Source organism: Homo sapiens, chromosome 4 (assembly GCF_000001405.40).
Source record: "Homo sapiens chromosome 4, GRCh38.p14 Primary Assembly".
Lineage (NCBI taxonomy): Eukaryota > Metazoa > Chordata > Mammalia > Primates > Hominidae > Homo > Homo sapiens.
The window spans coordinates 161540602-161562195 of record NC_000004.12 but is presented as its reverse complement, the minus strand read 5'-3'; the positions used below and the strand labels follow the sequence as shown (position 1 = coordinate 161562195).

The window sequence follows — 21594 nt, the reverse complement described above, 5'->3', positions numbered from 1 at the left end:
AGACATAGATCAATAGAACAAAACTGAAAGAATTAGAGGAGGGAAAATGAACGTCCAGTGGGGAAGAGCAAGAAAAATTGCAAAACCATGAGCATGAACTGGAGTCCATGAGATTGGCTTAGTACCCATGTCCATTCTCATCGCCTCCACTCTCAGTAAGGTGGGTGTCCTGAGATTCTGGCTCTCATTGGACAGAACCAGATGCATGCCATGCCCAGGAATTGGCAAAGCTGAGGGAAAGTGGAACACTTGCAGACTGTTGTTCCACACCTACAACACGTGCCTTAGCTTTGCAACAATGTGTGTGGGCTACAAGGTTACATAGTGACTGTGCCCCAGCACTCAAAGTGACTTTAATTTTTCTTCTGCCCTCCAAACTTTGAACAAAATTAAATATGACCCACCCTAAGTGGAAATGTAGAAGAAAAAGAATTCTGGGGAATATAGTTCAGCCTAGCCAAGTTGAGACATTTACAAGCTACTATTATTTTTTGCTTTTTCTTCACACTAATGAAAACATACTGTATACACTTTTCTTTCTTTTTTTTTGCCTTGTTATTATTGTTCAGTTTTTTGAGCTACAATTTTTACCCCATTAAATTCCCTGTTAAAGTGCGCAATTTAGTGTTTTTTGGAATATCCTCAGAGTTTTACAATCCTCACCACTATCTTAACTCGATAACATTTTCACCAAACCAAAAAATAACCCAGAGCCAATTAACAGCCACCAGGCATTCATCTCAAACCATGCAGTTCCTGGAAATCACTAATCTACTCTCTCTTTCTGTGGATTTACCTATTCTCTCACTTTCCATTTATCTTCCCATTTTGACTGCCAGTTCTGTGAACTTCAAGCTCCAAAATCAGACAGGAAGATAAGAGTCTTACAGAGATACTTTTTCCAGCTCCTGCAGTTGAATTCTGTAAGGTCAAATTCCTGTAACAAATATTTATCTGTCTATCATCTATCTATCTATGTATCTATCTATCTATCTATCTATCATCTAAAATACAGTTATGCACTGCACAACAACATTTCTGTCAATGATGAACCACATGTAAGATAGTGGTCTTATAAGTTTATAATGGAGCTGAAATATTCCTATTCCCTAGGGACGTCGTAGCTATTGTAATGTCACAGTACAATGCATTACTCACATCTGTGGTGATGCTGGTGTAAAAATTCTACTGTGCTACCAGTAATACAAATGTATGGCATATACAATTATGTATACTACATAATACTTGATAATAATAATAATAAATGACTATGTTACTGGCTTATATGTTTACTACGCATTTTAGTGTCATTTTAGAGTGTACTTCCTCTATTAATTAAAAAAATGTTAACGGTAAAACAGCCTTAGGCAGGTAGTTCAGTAGGTATTCTAGAAGAAGGCATTGTTGTCACAGGAGATGACAACTCCATGTGTGTTATTGCCCCTGAAAGACCTTCCAGTGAGACAAGACGTGGAGGCGGAAGACAGTGATATAGATAAAGACAGGACCTACACAGGTCCCCTGACCCTGTGTAGGGCTCAACTAATGTGTGAGTTTGTGTCTTAATTTTTAACAAAAATGTTTAAAAAGGAAAAATTAAAATTAAAAAATTGTATAAACAGAAAAAAAATCTTATAAAATAAAAATATAAAAAATTTGTACATTTGTACAATGTATATTTGAAGCTAAGTGTTATTACAGAGTCAAAAAGTTGAAAAAATTAAAAAGCTTAAAAAGTAACAAAGTTACAGTAAGCTAAGGAAAATTTATTATTGAAGAAAGAAAGTTTTTTTATAAATCTAATATAGCCTGAGTGTTCAGTGTTTATAGTGTACAGTGGTGTATAATAATGTCTTAGGCCTCTATATTCACTCACCACATACTCACTGACTCAGCAACATCTCATCCTATAAGCTTCATTCGTGGTAAGTGCGCTATACAGGAGTACCATCTTTTATATTATATCTTACTTTTACTTCACCTTTTATATGTTTAGATATATAAATACCATCATGCTACAATTGTCTACAGCAGGGGTGTCCAATCTTTTGGCTTCCCTGGGCCACAATGGAAGAAGAATTGTCTTGGGCCACATATAAACTACACTAACACTAATGATGGCTGATGAGCTAAAAGAAAAAAAAATCACACCAAGAAAACTCATAATGTTTTAAGAAAGTTTACAAATTTGTGTTGGGCTGCATTGAAAGCTGTCTTGGGTTGCATGTGGCCTGGGGGCTACAGGTTGGACAAGCTTGGCCTGCAGTATTCAGTACAGTAAGATACTGCACAGGTTTGTGGCCTGGGAGCTATATTGGCTATACCATATAGCTTAGGTGTGTAAATAGGCTATAGCATCTGGGTTTGTGTAATTACAGAATGAGCTTCCCATGGTGACAACATCACCTACCAATACATTTCTCAGAACGTAGCACCTTCATTAAGTAAGGCATGAACACATTTTACATGCATATGATATATATATTATGCATAATTATATTTATAAGTTTATACATAAAATCTCCTTCAAAATGCATGAGAAACCATTAACAGTTTGCTTACAGGAATTAATTTGCTTACAGGAAGAGAGAGAAGTAGAAAACAGTAAGATAGAAATGAGAGGGAGACTTTTCACAGTGTACTTTTTGTATGTTTTAGCTTTTCAACCATGTGAATGCATTGTCTGTTCAAAAATAATGAAATTAGAAGTGACAATTTTAAAACTAAAATGTACATTTGAAAAGTGGAAAGAGTAGAGGATGAATGAAGAGATAAAGGACAATGAAGAAAAGTAAGAAAAAAAGAAGAGGAAAGAGAGAAGAAATAGAAGGAGAAAGCAAAGGAGAAGAAAGAACAAGGAGGAGGATGGAAGGAAATAGAAGGAAACAGCAGTTATTTTAGGAGTCATCAGAAAGTTAAGAGTTATTAGAAAGAGGAGTCTAATTAGGAAGAGGAAAAAGGAGAGGATATAGATTAGAAACATCAATGCAGGCTTTTACGAAGAGATTCACCATATATAAATCTTGAGAAGCTAATACAGACCAGGTAATGAAGGATATTTTAGGTTGAGTAGTTTGGATATTAATCTGAGAAACGGAGAATGCAGTAAAGGATTTTAATTAGATTAGTTGCAACATAATACTTTCAATTTTAAAATAACTTTGTCGGCAGTATGAAGAATGAAGAATGGATTTGTGCAGGGCTGTTGAGAAGAAGAGCAGTTCACAGGTTTTGCACAAAGGCTAGAAATAGTGAAGGCCTAAACTGAAGGAAGAAAAATGTGAAAAATTGAGATCAAATTGATAATAAATATGTTGCCATAAATAACTGGATTGGGGTTGGTTGGGAGAGTTACTAATGAGTTAGAGTGAAAAGTCACAGAGGGCTACCAGTTTACTAATTGGGCTAGATAAATAGTGACTTCATTGCTTTCAAATGAACTTATAGGAAGCATGCTATTTTTACTAGAAGGTGGCATATTGAGAGATGACCTCTATGAATTGTTGGTGCCAGCAGCCACTTTTCCACTAATAGTGTGGAATAGCAGTGAACTATATTAAATACAATCAGAGGGAACCAGAACGGTGTGGACGCAGAGAGTATCTAGGGACCAGGAACAGAGGATTGAGTGAGAAAGTTAAGAGTAACATTTTGAGAGTTCCAGTGGGGTGGCATTTTTCTTTGAGCTACTCAGTGTAGACTTGTCTTTACTACTGATATAAATTATGTTTCTTTAAAGTAGACCAAAAATATTTAATTACACTTTTTAATTTTGAGATAACTGTAAATTCTTATGCAGTTTTAAGTAACAATGCAGAAAGATCCTGTAAAACTGTAGCACATTAGATTGCCATATTGACATTGATACAGTCAAGTTGCAGAAGAGTTTCATCACCACAAAAGCCCTAGTGACACCCTTTTGGAGCCACACTGAGCTCTCTCCTACTCCCACCAACTCATTAACTGCTGACAGCCACTAATCTGCTCTTCCTTTCGATAGTTTATTATTTCAAGAATATTATATAAATGGAGTCATACACTGTACATCCTTCTGGGATTGTTTTATAAAACGTTTTTCACTCAGCATAATTATCTGGATATCCATCTGCATTGTTGCAAATATCCACAGTTCATAGCTCTTATTGCTGTATAGTGTTCTATGGTATGTACGTAAAAGAGTTTGTTTAACCACTTATTTGCAGAGGAACATATGGGCTTATCTCCTAAGGACACATTCTCAGAAAACATCCCCATCTTTAAGCGACACATGACTGAACCTTAAGGTTCAGTTTATATAACTTATATGAGCACATATAACACATATGCACGTGTTAGATTCTCAAATATGGGCTTATTCTCTATAAGTTACTCAGGATTTTTCTCATTTAAGATATCTTAGATTTATTTTTGGGCAATATATGCAATATACGTAACTTAGCTCATTCTTTTTTGTTGTTTAATAAAATTTCACAGTATGATAGTATGATAATCTGTTCAATTTTAATATTGATGACTCAGATTTCACAAGTTACTCTTATATGCAGTGTGTACATAATCATCCTTGTACTTACATACTGGTGCTTTAATTTCTTTAGATTAGCTTAATCAAAGAAGAATCACTACATTAAAAATCACATGCATTTAAAAATGGGTAGATAATGCTATATTGCTGTGCTAAAATTTTGTAGCAATTTATTCTCCCAAAATTATCTATGGTAATGCCTGTCAAGTTAGGGAATATTCTAAACATTTTTAATTTTACTAAGTGTAAAATAACAGCATAACTCTCCTGTATTTGGAGTTAGTTTAGTATGCTTGTCATGAAATTTTTTATAGATTTGAAAACTGAAGATTAAAAATTCTAGCATACTTAATAATAAAAAATGAGGAAAAATTACATAAATTGTGTAAAGGTGCAGAAATATTTTATCTTTGTTTAGCAAGTTTTAGGCTTATTATGATTTATATATAATTTTTAAGGCTGCTCTTTTATTTGTAGTTTTGTATTTTAAAGATTTCTTTTGAAAGTTGTTGGTTAAAGTATAAAGTGATGATACTCAAACAAGGGTACTATTGCTTTATTTAAGAGTGCTTTTTCAAAAATTAATTATCCACACGACTTTATCAAATTAATTTTGTAGCTCAGTATTACATGAGAACTTCCAAGTACAAGTAGAGTTCATTTACAATTCCCATTAAGAAGCTCATTCTGAAATTAGGAAACTATATTTATAACTCTCGGTTTATCAGTTTATATAAAAATTGTTCTAAGACAAATTAGGTAGTTTCTAAAGAAATTACTTCATTTTGATAAAATAAACTTAATCCAGGATTATATATATATATATACACACACACACACACACATATATATATAATCTTTTACCGAGAAATACGAACTAAGTTTGTATAAATATGGATGACTATAACCCGCTAAATCTTAGTGGGTTTTTTTTGCTTTTTTACATATATTAGTTTGCAATAAAACTTCCTGAGCAAAATTATCTAATATTAGTAATTTTTATCATCTACTCTGTTGAAAAGATCTTCAACAATATTGTCGTGAATTCATTTCTATCTGCATAGTTTTTATATTTTAAAGTGTTGTCTTATTCTTTCCTCATAATGTTCATTTTACAAATGAGTAAACAAGCACTCATAGAGTTGGAGTGAGTATCCCAAAATCACAGAGCTAGTCAGTTATAGCTTGTAATCAAAATCTTCGTCTTGAGTAATCCTGTCTGATGCAAGACATGTTATATTTTATAGTCTTACATGTTGTTAAAATTCTTCTGTTTCTTACACAAACGGTGGTAGAAAATAAGGCTAGCTAGAGAACTAGCTGTAAGAAAAGTTATAAACAAAAGCTTCCAGAATCATATATATTTTGCAACACATTTTAATATAATATTGAAAGACAAATGTTTTCTTTATGTTTAAGCCCTAATGCAATGCTTTCATTACCTTCTAGTTGCAAAAATTGGCTATTTACAGGGTATATATATACAAACACACTATTGAGGTGCAAATGTGAGTTAAAAAAAGAGCTGAGAAGGTGTTTGATCTGTTTAAAATGTGTTTAGACACAGCTTTGACTAAATCTATTCCTAGATTGTATTTAGACAGGGTTTACATTTGCATCTGGAACATTTAACCAGTTTGGAATACGTCATGCTTCCACTTCCTCCCTCTAGTCTTGACAAACATTGTTGATCAATTATAGTTTTCTTGCGTGTTGAAACAGTTCATGGGCTTAGACAGGTTCAATTCCCATCTAAGTTCATTTCTACTAATCAGTTGGTATTGACAAGTGAAATTAAACACATTTTCTGTTCCTCTTATTAAGTCTTAGACATTCTCTGTGTAGCCAGCAGAAAAACCCCTCATATTTTCAAAAACAACAAAACATGTGAGTAGACACCAAACCTTTGCTTGCTGACTCATGCCTAGCAATGGGCTGGGAATTTACCAGAGAGTGTTTCCTTTAGTCCATTTAATCCTCAGAAGAGTTTCAAATTTTACAAATGGAGAAATCAAGACTCAGAAATGGGATATTTTATCCCTTACAGCATAGCAGAAAGTATTAGAGATGCGTTCAAATTTTCTGCTTAGGAGGAGGTTACTGTAACATATCAGCTACACAACTCCTGCCTCAAATAATCACTTTGAGAACTCCTGATCTCTAAATTAGATATACATTAAATAAAATTAAATAAAATCTGTCAAAAAGAAACCAGCATCATCCAGCATGTGCCAGGCTATGTTTTTTTCTCATTTATTCTTTCTTTTCTTTAGGTTTAGAGAAACGACATCTTGTGTATTATCATCTGAAACGCTTTTGTTATATTTTCTTTTGTGTTTCAGAGAGCATTTCTTAAAATGGTGACTTTTGAGACTTTGAAATTGAGGATTAAAAAGGCCACTAACTTTAAATATTAGTAGACTACATCTAAGTTAATTAAATTAGGGTGAACTGTCTCTTTCAAAATAGGTTAAAGCATTGTAATTTCTTACAATGTCATATGATAAATAGGAAGACCCAATTAAAAAAACTCACCGAAGTTTATGACCCTAAGAATGTTGCTCTTAATTTATATTTTGCCTCCAACATTTGTTGCATCCTCTACACTTTCATGAAGACTGCAATAATGTGATCAGAGAGTTTTGTAATATTGACAAGAGGCAGTGTGAAAGTCATGAATATAAAAAGACTGCTTTGGGACAAAGTTAAAGAGAAATTGATGGCTTTAATAATGTCAGACAAAAGGCATTGGACAAGCTCAGTAGCATTTAAAATATTTATTAAACCGAGTCTGTAATTTTTCATAGGAAAGTTGCTTTAATGACAAAGGAAGTCATAATACAAACAGAACAATCCAGCTGCCGCTGTGAGTCAGCACTACTTCAGAGACATTTATATTCTTACCCTCAAGCTTTCTTAGAACCTTTTCGAACAGTTGCAGCTGTGTGAATAATTTGTGGAAGAGCCATGATAGAATTCTTCAAAAGAATACAAGATAATAGCATCAAGAAAAAGGAAAAAATAGTCAGTGCTTAGTTGTTTACTTACCAGTGACCTGACGATTCACCTTAAATTCATTTTTGTTTTCAGTTAGAATGAAGTCACTGTATTGGGTCAGTGATCCCTGCCTCTTGACTAAATTCAGGCTTCCAAAACAGCCAGTTATGCTGTCTCCATACTCTGCGGCAATAATGCAGAAACTTCTAAAGAAAGATCAGTGTATGAAAGTATGAAGAATGAGAAAAAAGTAAGACTTAGCCTTACAGAGATTTTTTTTTCACATTAGAATCTTTCTAATATTGGATTAGAAGCATCATTACATTAAATAAATTCTATTAGATTCTTCCTAATGTAGAGAGAAGTACTGGTCTAGTCTAATGCAGTTAAGTTGCTGTGGGCCTTTGAGAAATATATCTATCTACCCTTCCTTTTTTTTTCCTACTATCATCATAAGACACATCATGGTTTTCGGATGATAAATGTTTACAAGGATTCCATATAAACACCAAAGTTTCCAGAAAGAAAAACCTGTGTAAATGTAAATATACTTTATTTTATTTAGTTTCCTCCATTTTTCATTTCTACTTTTTTAAGTATCAGAACCTCACCTTCATTTCTAAATTTGTGTAATGTTAAAATGTACTAGTCTTATGTATTCTTAGAGCAATTGGTCATGTGTATATAGTATCTGATTATTTACATTTGATGCTCTAAGAACCATCAGATGAACTAAATAAAATTTTATTAGATTTGTTTGATTTATTTAAATGATGATGTCGTTTTTAAACTGAGCAATAGTTCAGTTTCCTTGAAAAGTTACATATATTTGAGATGCATTATTAATACTGCTCTGAAATACTATAAATGCACTAATTTATTTGACCTTTACTTTTAAAATATGATTTTTTTCCAGGATCTCTAATATGCCTTATACATTATAGCTAACAATCTAATTCATAATTTAATGAATGTGGATGCCAAGTAGTCAAATTCCAGTAGACACTTTTATAAAGACATATATTATATTATTAGGACCATATGAGACAATTTAAGCTAAGAATGTATTTTTTTTTCAATGCTCCACTTGGCTAGTTTCAACTCGAACCTATCACTCATTGGATGTGTAATATAGAAAAGAGAGCAAGTGAGTGATGGAGAAAGTTACCAGCACAATGTATTATGCTCAGGAGTTGCTCAGTGAATAGCTATATATTATTATCTTAAAACTCAAAAATAAATCAAATTTTATACTTTACCTAATTTTTGAATAAAATATATATATTTACATCCTTTGGTATCTCCTTCCATTTTAGGTAATAGAAGTTTACTTGATTACATTTTTGTAGAATAAATTTTAATATGTAATGTCAACTTTTTATAATGTTCCTGTATTAATATATACATAATAAATTATTTGATGTTTATATTATATGATTGTATTGGATATTATTATATAAAGTAACCCAATTAGTTTAAACTATTTAGGTTGAAGGCATTTCCTGAGCTATATTAGCAAGACATCAAATATCATATGGAATTATTTAGTGTATAGAAGCTGATCTTTAAATATCACATTTTCATAAAATGTTAGGAGCCTATTTAAAGCTTTTCATGGTAGTCCATGCAAATTGGATCCTAAATCCAATGTGACAACACTTTGGTAGTCTTTATCAGTTTCTTTTTTTCATGTGTTGCCAATAGAAAGAAAAAGACAAGTTTATAGAGTGCACTTCCTAGCTAAAAATGCCTGTAACAAATGGTTTGAAATGTTCTGTGGAGGATTATTGACTTTTTTAATTCAGGCTGCCATCAGTCCTCATTTATATTTCATAATATGTATCCTGGGAAAAGTAAGCTACTTTTAAATGTTTAGCTTGTCACTGAGGTTAAATAGTTGTTATGCCAATCACTTATCCTTCAATTCTATGTGAGTTAAGAGACACTTTTCAGAAAATCATTTAACACCAATAAACTAAGTGAGACACATGTCGATTACATGAAAGTATTATTTTTTCATATATATAATCTATATGAGAATTAAAATTTCATGTGACAAAAATTATTATTCACTAGTTTTCTTTCTGTCCCTTCATAAGTACATCAATAAAGTAGAAGTAGCTTGGAATGCAGGAGGAAATTGAACATCTCATCTAAAAAGTTTTCCTTTGGGGAGTATCAGTGACCATGTAAGTGGCCCATATAATATATATATTTTCCAGTATGAATAATGTGTTATCTATTGCTCTTATTGAGGTGATTGATGTGCTTCCTTCCAAACTAATTCTCAGATTTAGGCTGTCTCAATTTTTTGCTGCTCCAAAGACTGTTGCAAGAAGAATTGATGCTTACAAATCCTGTGGCAAGATAAACTTTGTCTTATTAAATACTTATTGAGAGTTGTTATTAATATCTATTCTGATTCCCTGTCTTTTTTAAAAAGCTCATCTCCTAACTGTAGTTGTTAAGAGATTAGAGATTAGTCAGATTAGTCTAAATATTTTAAACAGTGTTTTTACTCCACCCCTTACAGTGATGTGGGTTTACCATAAGTACATTAACATATCACTTTAAAAAGTTATTTATTAGATGAGTAGGTTGCAAAAATTTTCTCCCATTTTGTAGGTTGCCTGTTCACTCTGATGGTAATTTCTTTTGCTGTGCAGAAGCTCTTTAGTTTAATTAGACCCCATTTGTCAATTTTGTCTTTTGTTGCCATTGCTTTTGGTGTTTTAGACATGAAGTCCTTGCCCATGGCTATGTCCTGAATGGTAATGCCTAGGTTTTCTTCTAGGGTTTTTATGGTTTTAGGTCTAACGTTTAAGTCTTTAATCCATCTTGAATTGATTTTTGTATAAGGTGTAAGGAAGGGATCCAGTTTCAGCTTTCTACATATGGCTAGCCAGTTTTCCCAGCACCATTTATTAAATAGGGAATCGTTTCCCCATTTCTTGTTTTTCTCAGGTTTGTCAAAGATCAGACGGTTGTAGATATGCGGCATTATTTCTGAGGGCTCTGTTCTGTTCCATGGATCTATATCTCTGTTTTGGTACCAGTACCATGCTGTTTTGGTTACTGTAGCCTTGTAGTATAGTTTGAAGTCAGGTATCATGATGCCTCCAGTTTTGTTCTTTTGGCTTAGGATTGACTTGGCAATGCGGGCTCTTTTTTGGCTACTCATCTGACAAAGGGCTAATATCCAGAATCTACAATGAACTCAAACAAATTTACAAGAAAAAAACAAACAACCCCATCAAAAAGTGGACAAAGGACATGAACAGACACTTCTCAAAAGAAGACATTTATGCAGCCAAAAAACACATGAAAAAATGCTCATCATCACTGGCCATCAGAGAAATGCAAATCAAAACCACAATGAGATACCATCTCACACCAGTTAGAATGGCAATCATTAAAAAGTCAGGAAACAACAGGTGCTGGAGAGGATGTGGAGAAATAGGAACACTTTTACACTGTTGGTGGGACTGTAAACTAGTTCAACCATTGTGGAAGTCAGTGTGGCGATTCCTCAGGGATCTAGAACTAGAAATACCATTTGACCCAGCCATCCCATTACTGGATATATACTCAATGGACTATAAATCATGCTGCTATAAAGACATACACACACATATGTTTATTGCGGCATTATTCACAATAACAAAGACTTGGAACCAACCCAAATGTCCAACAATGATAGACTGGATTAAGAAAATGTGGCACATATACACCATGGAATACTATGCAGCCATAAAAAATGATGAGTTCGTGTCCTTTGTAGGGACATGGATGAAATTGGAAATCATCATTCTCAGCAAACTATCGCAAGAACAAAAAACCAAACACCGCATATTCTCACTCATAGGTGGGAATTAAACAATGAGATCACATGGACACAGGAAGGGGAACATCACACTCTGGGGACTGTGGTGGGGTGCGGGGATGGGGGAGGGATAGCATTGGGAGATATACCTAATGCTAGATGACGAGTTAGTGGGTGCAGCGCACCAGCATGGCACATGTAAACATATGTAACTAACCTGCACAATGTGCTCATGTACCCTAAAACTTAAAGTATAATAATAAATAAATAAATAAATAAATAAATAAATAAATAAAAAAGAAGTTACTGAAAAAATAAAATAAAATAAAATACAAAAAAAAGTTATTTGTTTTAACCTTCAATAAAATAAAATGCTGCAATAACTACTCTGTTCTAAATACATTAGGAGAGCCTAAACGTGTGCTTTATGTCACCAGGAAAGCAGGCACAGAAATACTAGGACAATCATTTTTGAAAGTGTATTTTGTATTTCAAAAAAATTCATTTAAGTAGTCCTCAAGGAAAAGAATAAAATCAGAACTTGGTTTTGCTCCTTGTCACTGTGCAAGCTTGTGTATATTGTAATACTTTTGAATGAGAAATGGCAGAAAGGGTGCAGCAGATTTCTTTTTGTACTTAGAGCTTTGAAGGTCTATTATTTTTCTGCTTCTAAAAATATTAAGGGCAATGTACAGGATACAGTCCCAACTATGGACACTAAGGGTTATTAGGCCTTTCTGAGGACACCCTCCCCTGCCTCATTTTTCTCTGTGTAGTTAACATGAAGCTAGTTTAATATTCCCAGAGTATAGCTGGGAAAGGGAACTAACAGGCCAGTAGGGTGGTCGGCTGTAGTCCTGACGTGACGGCTTTAACTAGTCTTGGTTTGCATTACTTTTATAGTTTTAGTAAGTCTGGAGGATTGACACTTATTCAATAGTCAGTGAAATTTGTATATACAATGGATCCTCCAGACACTAAAAAATAAGAGTGGTGAAATTAACTTTGCACATATTTGAATCACCAAATAGAGTCTCAGATTGGTTTTGGACCTTAAAGTTTTTTATTGGCATTCTGATGGCTGAAAGAAAAGGATGTCAGGTAGTTCAAAATACATGCATTAACCGGAGAGCAAATGGTCCAAGTGAACAAAACTTTTATGTCCTGTCTTTTGATATCTCCTGCAGAAACTTTTTTGACAGAGAACTGGAGTCCTCTTCTTTATTTACCAAGTCATATTCTTATCAAGGACAACGTATGTTACATATACTCTCATGGCCATTTTAAATAGCAAATGCTAAATTGTAAATGTCAGAAAGGAATCAGTGTGGTAAGCCTGTAACATACATCCTGTGGAACTCTTCCACATGGTCTTCATTACACAAGTCACCCGGCTACATCAGGGAATTTAATGATTAAATAAGGCAAAACCTCTTCTCTCAAAGAGCCTATTATTAATCATATATATCATATTATATATAGCTGTCTGATATATATTGTTTTACAATATATATTGCTTTGCAATATACAACTCTTTATTTTTATAATTCTTTTGATTTTCAAAACCTTAAAATATAGTACAATATTTATTTTACATATAAGAAAACAAAGACTCAAAAATGTTTGAAAATGAACTCAACATCACAGCACTATTAAGCAGCAAAATGAAGACCCCAAATCTTCATTTGTCTCAATCAAAATGTCTAAATGACGACAAATAAACATATTTTCATTAGCAGGGGATTTTCCAAATCTGAGGTCTAGAATTCACTTGAGAAACACTTTCATAAAAACAATATTATTCTCAATATTAAGTATGGAAAGGTACCACTCTCTACAATTAAGAAAATTCAGCCATCCAGAACTATTTGCTTTCAATGTGAATAGATTTAATATTTACATTAAAGATAGCATGTTAATTTTTGTTGGAAAGGACATTATGCTTTTTGGTATTGGAATTAAAATGTCTAAACCATTTGTTCTAATATATTCAAATTCTCATCTAACCTCAAAAATTTACATAGCACAATCATTTGAAAATTATACAATTAATAGTCCATCATTGCATAATTCCTGAATCATTTCCCACAAAGCTTAGTACATTATAATGGCAATTATAATGTTCTTGGAATGCCTGGCACTTGTAGATAATTGATACATGTATATTTACTGAATGAATGCAGGATTTCTCTCCCAGCATTTTTGGTGGTAAACTGGCTAATTGACTGTCCATACAATTGCATGTGACATATATCTAACTACCTATGACATAACTCAAGTTCAAGAAGTATACACTCATTGGAAAAATATAAAAAGTTCAGCATGGTGCATATACTGAAAATGTCTTCCCCACAACCATATTCACTACACTGTCTATCATACTCCCCTAAACACTTCAAAATTCAGTTCATTTTCCTTTAACGAACTTTGTGTTGATAACTCCCATTTTTCTGTAACTACCACACCTCTTTCAACTCTATTACAGGACATAAAGTGTTCTGTTACAATTATTGTTTCCTGGTTTTCATTATTGAACAGTACATACGAGACATATGTTGTCCATCTGTGTCAACCTAACAGTTTACAGTTTATCGCAGATACTAAGTAATCAATATATGACTAATTAAATGAACAAAAGTGAGCATTTTGGTAAGTGGTACCATATTTAGATTGTTTCTACAAAGATGGGTTTTACCAGTTTTGTGGAATGGGAATGCAAATGAAAAAAGATTTGATGGATAAAATTAATATAATTGTAACTAGAGGCAATAATAACTAAAGGTACCATGAACATGGTTTATTACTCCACTGATTTTAGTCTTATTTCATTTTTATCAATAACATTTTAAATAATGTTTTAGAATGTTTCAAAAAGGGTTTGAGCACCACATGTTAAATATATTTGTAGATAGTTAATATATTTGTTGCTTTATTAATCTTAAAATATATGAAATATTTTGTTACTGGTATTTACAAATATGCAAACTTGTATCATGCACACATACCAAATTCACTTATTATCACAATTCATCTAAAGAATCTTTTGTATTTTAATTTACTCTATGCCATCTACAAGTGCTTAAGATAACCCTTATCATACTGAAGAAAATATTTTCTTGTTTTGTTTTCCAAAGGTAAATGACTTTTCTGCAGTTTTGGAAAAGATCATACAATTTTACTTCTTTAAACTGTTAATATGATGAATTACATTCAGTGATTTTTTGAATGTCTATAATTAACTCAATATATTATGGTATATTACCATTTTAGTATTCTGATAAATTTTGTTTGATAATATTTTATACGGGAATTTTTCATCTATTTTCATGAGTGACACTGACCACTAATTATTCTTTCTTCTAATGCCTTGTCACATTTTGATATTAAGTTTATGCTGACTTCATAAAAAGAAGCTGGGGATTTTATTAGTTATCTATGCTGCATAATAAATTAGCTAAAATACTAGTTGCCTAAAACAACAAACATTTATGCTCTTTGAGATAATAGGAAAATCAAGATATGCAATAATAAACAGAGAAATGAAATAATCAAATAATTTGAGAACAGCTTAGCTAGGTGATCCTGGCACAATCTCTTTTCTGAGATTTCAATCAACATGTTGTTCAGAGCTGTAGTCATCTGAAAGCTTGATTGCGGCTGGCATAACTACTTCCAAGATTACTCACTCACGTGGCTATTGGCAGGAGGCCTTAGTTTTTTGCTGGCTGTTGTCATGGGGCCTCTCTCTGCCCCTTGGCATATAAGCATCCCCATAAGAGTGATTGAGTATCTTATGACACGGCAGCTGAATTCTGCAAGAGCAAGAGAACGATGAAAATATTGCAATACCTTTTATGACCTAATGCTGGATATTATGCACCATTACTTTGCCACAGCTCTGTTCATTAACAGCACGTCATTAAATCCAGCCCACAGGTCCCATGTGTAAAGTGAGAACAGTTAGTCTCTATCTTTGGAAGACAGGAGTGTCAACAATTGATAGAGATATTTTAACACTACTAAAGAGATGCCTCCAGCCCCATTTTATTTTCTAGAAGAGCTTGTATAAGATTGGTGTTATTTTTACTTTATTTTGGAAAAGTTCTAAAGTTTTCTTTGATTAAAAGTTTTTAAATAAATTAAATGTATTTAAATGTTATAAGACTTTTTAGATTTTATACTACTTTTTGTGTAGGTTCTGCTAGATGCTTGCGTTTCCAGAAATCTGTTCATTTTATTTAAAGTTACGTGTTGGCATAAAGCTGTCTATAATGTGTTCTCTTTAGTTTTTACCATTTCTGTAAGAATTTAGCTCTCATTCTGACTTTCTTGGTATGCCATTTTGTTTCTTGGGGTTGCTTTTTATGATTTGTCTTTTTTTCTTTGGTGTTCTATAGTTTTACTGTAATGTCTATGTGTCACCTTTCTTAAGAAAGTTCATCATCTTTAGGCTTTTGGAATCACTGATTTAATGTCTTACACAGAACTGAGAATATCACAATGGTTACCTCTTCAAATATCGCTCTCTTCAGTTTTATATATGTGTATATATATATATATAATATGTATATATAATATGCATATTTATAGTATTCTTAATCTATTCTATATTCACTTACTCTCTCATCTGTATTTTCTATATTTTATACCTCTGTGCTTTATTGTGGCTATGATTTTTTTCTGACTTAACTTTCTATTATCGCCTTTCTTCTTCAGCTGTATCTAATCTGGAGTTAAATACAAAGATTGAGTTTATAATTTCAATTTTTGTTATTTAAAAATATAGCATTTCTAGTTGATTTATTTTAATTACAACATTATGTTTTATAGCTTCCTAAATTTTTATGTTTAGCTATCAACTCTTTAAACACAGGAAGCCTAGATGAATAACTCCAGTTACCAGAATTTTGTGGCTTTTTAAAACTTGACTGTTGTTTTTATTTTTATTGGTTAAGTTTGTATTTTCTTAAGGAAAGCCTTGAGATATTTTGTTGTATTCAGCAAATTTGATTTCATCAACCATTTTCCAAATTATTTTAATTATAAAGATAATAGGTTCTTTAAGAGAGGTATTCCATCTATGACTGTCAGGCACTGGGGGGTACCAGAGATTCTGCAATGAATCTTTGGACATTTTGTGGCCACTTAAATGGAATGCAACTAGTAACCCAGTACAGAGAAAGAGTTACTATGCCAGAATCTCCAGCCACAATTATTGTGGGACCACAATACTAAGCCCATTTACTTTAGTTGAGGCTGCCTACCAGAATCAGCTGATTCCCTGATATTGGCATGTATTTGTAAACCAAAAATAAGTACATAATCCTGGCTTCCCAGAAGTTTTGGAGTCTGGTAAGGTAGAAGAGATAAATCACTATATTTGATTCAATGTAGCAACGCGCCAGATCTTAAAGAAATACACACTGAATTAATTAATGGCTAAAAGAAAAATACAAAACCTCTCAAGTTGTCTTATTATTTTTTAAATTACGTGTGCACACACATGCATATGTGTATATACATGGGAGAGAGAGACAGAAATAAAATACCTTTGATTAGTAATCAACTCTGACTTCAGAATCTTCACCTGCTTTGGGAACTATTCTTGAGGGAGAAACAGTTGTAGCTCACTTCCATGAGCCTTAAAGTTTCTTCTGTACTGATTCTGCCATTCCTCATTATATCCCTAAGTTACTTATGATTTCTGAAAATGCTTTCTGTAAACTTTTCCAAGATTTTAAATTCTAGTCAGGAAGATAATCAGAATCAGTCATTATCATTTTTTCAACATTACTAGAAACAGAAAGTTATCAATTAATCCACATCTCACTTTTAATTGAGTCTTTCTATAATTATGCCTAATGTTGTATTTACGACATCTCATTTTAATATCAATGATTATATAATTGAAAAAAGTTTCAGATTGTATTCATCACTAGTTAATTCAGTGAGTGACTTTTATAAAGAAAATTATTTTACCTAATCAAAGTGCAATTATCAAATCAGGAAAGGTAACATTAGTAGTATCGCAATATCTAATACAGGGACCATATTTAAATTTTGTCAGTTCTCTTAGTAATATACTTTATAACTTATTTTTCTAAGTCCAGGACCCAATCTTGATTTGCATGTTTTATTTATTTCTTATAACTCATCTTTTTTTAGTCTAGAGTGTTTCATTAGCCTCCTTTGCCTTTCCTTTCTTTTTTATTCAGATAAAATCCACATGCCATTTAACTGTGTCAAAATGTACCACACAGTAGCTCATAACATATTTACAATGTTGTGTAACCATCACCACTATCTAAGCCTAGAACATTGTCACCCCCAAATAAACCTCATATCCATTAAGCAGTCATTTCTCATTCCTCCATTTCCTCAGTCCCTAGCAACAACCAGTCTGCTTTCTGTCACCATGGATTTGCCCATTGTGAACGTTTTATAAATGGATTAATATAATATGTAAACGTTTGTGTCAGATACCTCCAATATTCATGTTGTAGAATGCATTAGTATTTTCCTCCATATATTGCATGGCTGCATCATTTTATATTCCCACCAGCAATGTGCAAGAGTTCCAGTTTCTCCACATACTCAATCAACAACATGTTATTTTCTGATTTTTGTTTATCTGTTTAAATAGCCATTCTAGAGGGTGTGAAGTGGTATCATGTAGTGGTTTTGATTTGCATTTCCCTCTTTTTGATTTTTTTTAATTTTTTAATCTTTTCATATGCTTAATTAGCCATTTATACATCTTCAATAGAGAAATGACTATTCAATTTTTTCGTCTCAAATTTTAATTGCATTGTTGGCTTTTTAGCTGCTGATTTGTAACAGTTCTCTATATATTCTGGATACTATCAGAATTTTCAAATATCTTTTCCTATTTTGTGGGTTGTGTTTATACTTTTTTATAGTGTCATTTGATGCACTACAAAATCTAACATATTTATTTTGTTTTTGTTGTTGCTTGTGCTTTGGGGTCATATCTAGAAGAAACAATTGTCCATTTCTAGATCAGAAACATTTACTCAATGTTTTCTTCTGATAGTTTATTGTTTTAGCTCCTACATTTAAGTCTTTGATTTATTTTGAATTCAATTTTGCTTATGGTATGGGGTAGGAGTTCAGGCTTATTTTCTTGCATGTGGTTTTCCAATTGTCCCAGAATAATTGGGAAAAAAAATGACCATCAATGTATGTTTATTTCTGCACTCTCAAGTCTATTCCATCTTTGTGTCAGGATTGCACTGCTTTGATTACTTCATTGCATGTTTTGAAATCAGCAAGTATGAGCCCTCCAGCTTTGTACTTTTTCAAGATTTTTTTTTTCACCACTTGGGGGTCTCCTGTAATTTCACATTTATCTGAGGATAAGTTTTTTTAATTTCTCGAAAAAAATGCAGTTAGAACTTTGATAAGGATTACACTGTACCTTTGTTTTTCTTTTACTTGTCTTTGTCAACTTGGGAGTATGATCACCTTACCAATAGCCTTTACCAGTTTGTACCATGTTACCAATCAATTCTTTCAATCCAGGAATACAAAGTGTCTTCGGATTTATTTAGGTCTTCTTTAAATTCTTTCAACAAAGTTTCATAGTATTTAGTATGAAAGTTTTGCATGTCTTTGGTGAACTTTATTCCTAAATATTTTATTTTTTGATACTATTGTAAACAGAATTATTAATTTCCTAACAGGCTATAATAAAAATATTTTATTTTCCTTCCATTATATACTCATTTATTTATTTATATAACTGAATTCATGATTTTATTTAATTCCTTATACTCCTTTGTAATTACTAATTATTTCAGTGCTCAAATTGTCCCATATTTAGCAAATTGGAGTCTCTTTTAACTGGTTTCTGTATCCTTTTGGTATGCCTCATCATTCTTTGAGGACTTGTTTAATTTCTGAAACAAGATATTCCAGGCTCATCTTATGTTTTCCCTAGCAAAATCCCAGAATAGTTTTTATACAGGTAACACTGGTACATTTCAGTGGATAATGCTATTTGGAAACTACAATCTGTAGAAACGTATAGCATCATTAAAATATATAATTTATTATTTATCTTATTGCAATTTTTCTTTTGGAAAATTAAATAGAAAATATGAATCACTAATTCACTTTCTCTTTCATTTTTTCCTTTAGTTCCTCCAGTCATCCGGGTGTATCCAGAGAGTCAGGCTAGAGAGCCTGGGGTAACTGCCAGTCTTAGGTGCCATGCAGAGGGCATACCAAAGCCTCAGCTTGGCTGGTTGAAGAATGGAATTGATATTACACCAAAGCTTTCCAAACAACTCACGCTTCAAGGTGCTTTTTACTTGCTTTTTTTTCTCTTAAATGACCATGTTGAAAATTTATACTAAAATTTATAACGTTCTTTGGAAAATAAAAGAAAAATGAGTGTTGGTGGCAACAGAATGTCACAAATATGAAAAAAAATGCTCATATCTAAGAAATTATATGGGAAAGATTCTTTTAACATTTTAGTGTTTTTAATAATAGTCTTGTCATAATGATTAATTATGTCATTATTTTGGTGATAAGTAAAATATTAAATTATGTATCTTTAAAATACTTGTCCTGTGAATTATAGCAGTTATGCTGAGCAGAATAATTAGATTCTTTTATAGAAATTCATTTCTGAAGTTACTTTTTAAGTGTTTAAATAATACCTTGAATATATATTATAGAAGATTTCAATACAGAATTTTTAGTGGATTTTTTAGCATATTTTGTAAATGAAGGGAGAAGAATATCAAAAAGTTACTAAATGTTTTCCATTTACATTTTTTAAAGTTTGTGTTACATTCTAATATATAAAATATTGTACATATTCTAATCTTCTAATGTGTAGACATGAATAAATTACTGTATATTAGATAATAATAATCCCAAATATGTGGAAAATAAACAAAACCAGGCAAGATTTGTAAGGTCAAATAATTTAAGTAGTCTAAAAGCAGTTGCATATAATATATTAATTATACTAGCATTAAAAATAAACCACAAACCTTTTTTTCATTGTTAGGGGTAACACACAACACTCATTTTACTGGAGTATCTTCTTCATGGGCATTATAGTTCTTATTTTATGACTTTAATTTTCTTTATATTATTAAACATGAACATATTTTGTCACTTTATTACATAGAGTTCTATTATTATTCCACTTTAATAGTGGATATATATAATCATTATACATTTTTAAATAAAACTTTTTAAAACTTCTACTTATTCTTGCAAGTCAATAGAGACATGTCTGTGAAAGTGTCCTTAAACTTTAAAAACTTTAATCCTAGAAATCACTAATGTGCATACGTAGGTCAGACACATTTGCACACATATCTAGTGATTACCTCAAGAGGTCTATAATCTGAGAGGAGAAGACTTATTAACAGAAATTAAATGAATAAAAGTCTAAATAGCTTCTGACTTTGTCTCTTGCCCATTTAATAGCAATAAACCATATTATAAAAGTATATCAAAATTTTGCTTTCAGGAATATACATGACAACAAATTTTTGAAGTTGTTACACTCCAGACTCAACATTTGAAAAGAGAAGGTGCTTGCAAAGAAATTACTGTAAATTTTTACAACAGGGAAAAACAGTTGAAGTTTTAAGAGAATATGACAAAAAATAAAAGGAGAGAAGAGATAATTCTACACACATAGGGGTATAAAACTCCATGTGGCTTAATAACTGTTTAATTATCTACTCATTCATGAGATGCTTCTTTAGTGTTTGTGTGTGAAGTCCAAGTCCAGACACTAATTTAGTATCTGTGGCAATGGCTGGGATAATATGTGAATTAGAGAGAGTAAAATCCCAAGAAAGCACAAATATTTTATTAACAGGCAAATGAAGAAAATAACAGTAAGAGACTAAAATTCATCAAGAGACAGGAGACTAGGTGATAATATGGAAGAAGAGAAAGTTAAAAATAAAGAGGTCAACAATGGCAAATGCATAGAAAGTTCAATAAAAGGCATTGATAAGTGTTTACTTCAGGTGATGAGCATGTTCTTGCGACATTTAGAAAAACAGTATCAGTAACAATCAGTTTTCAGTGTGTTTAGAAACAAAAAGGAGACAAGAAATACAAAAATCTTTTTTGGCCAGATTCTGAAAGGAAAAAAAAATAGAAGATAGTAGCTCCTGGTGGGGAGGCTTAGAACTGATGGAGATATTTCTTGGATAATTCATCAATCTGAGAAAGTATCAGTAGGGAGAAATGA

General features: G+C 32.1%; 1 protein-coding gene across 4 annotated transcripts in view, besides 1 other annotated feature; it reads left to right on the top strand.

Annotated features, from left to right (window-relative positions):
• FSTL5 (follistatin like 5) overlaps window positions 1-21594 on the top strand; it is a 780104-nt gene that overhangs the window by 601805 nt on the left and 156705 nt on the right. For all 4 annotated transcript variants that reach the window (NM_001128428.3, NM_001128427.3, XM_011532126.1 and 1 more), the window contains exon 9: window positions 19503-19664. In NM_001128428.3, coding sequence (NP_001121900.1) covers window positions 19503-19664 — 162 coding nt within the window. The remainder of the gene's footprint in view (window positions 1-19502; window positions 19665-21594) is intronic.
• Window positions 6328-6437: an enhancer, noted in NCBI's record as "active region_22094". NCBI's record gives its function as "activates an Ori minimal core promoter by ATAC-STARR-seq in GM12878 lymphoblastoid cells {active_cell/tissue: GM12878}" and the evidence as "EXISTENCE:reporter gene assay evidence [ECO:0000049][PMID:35858748]".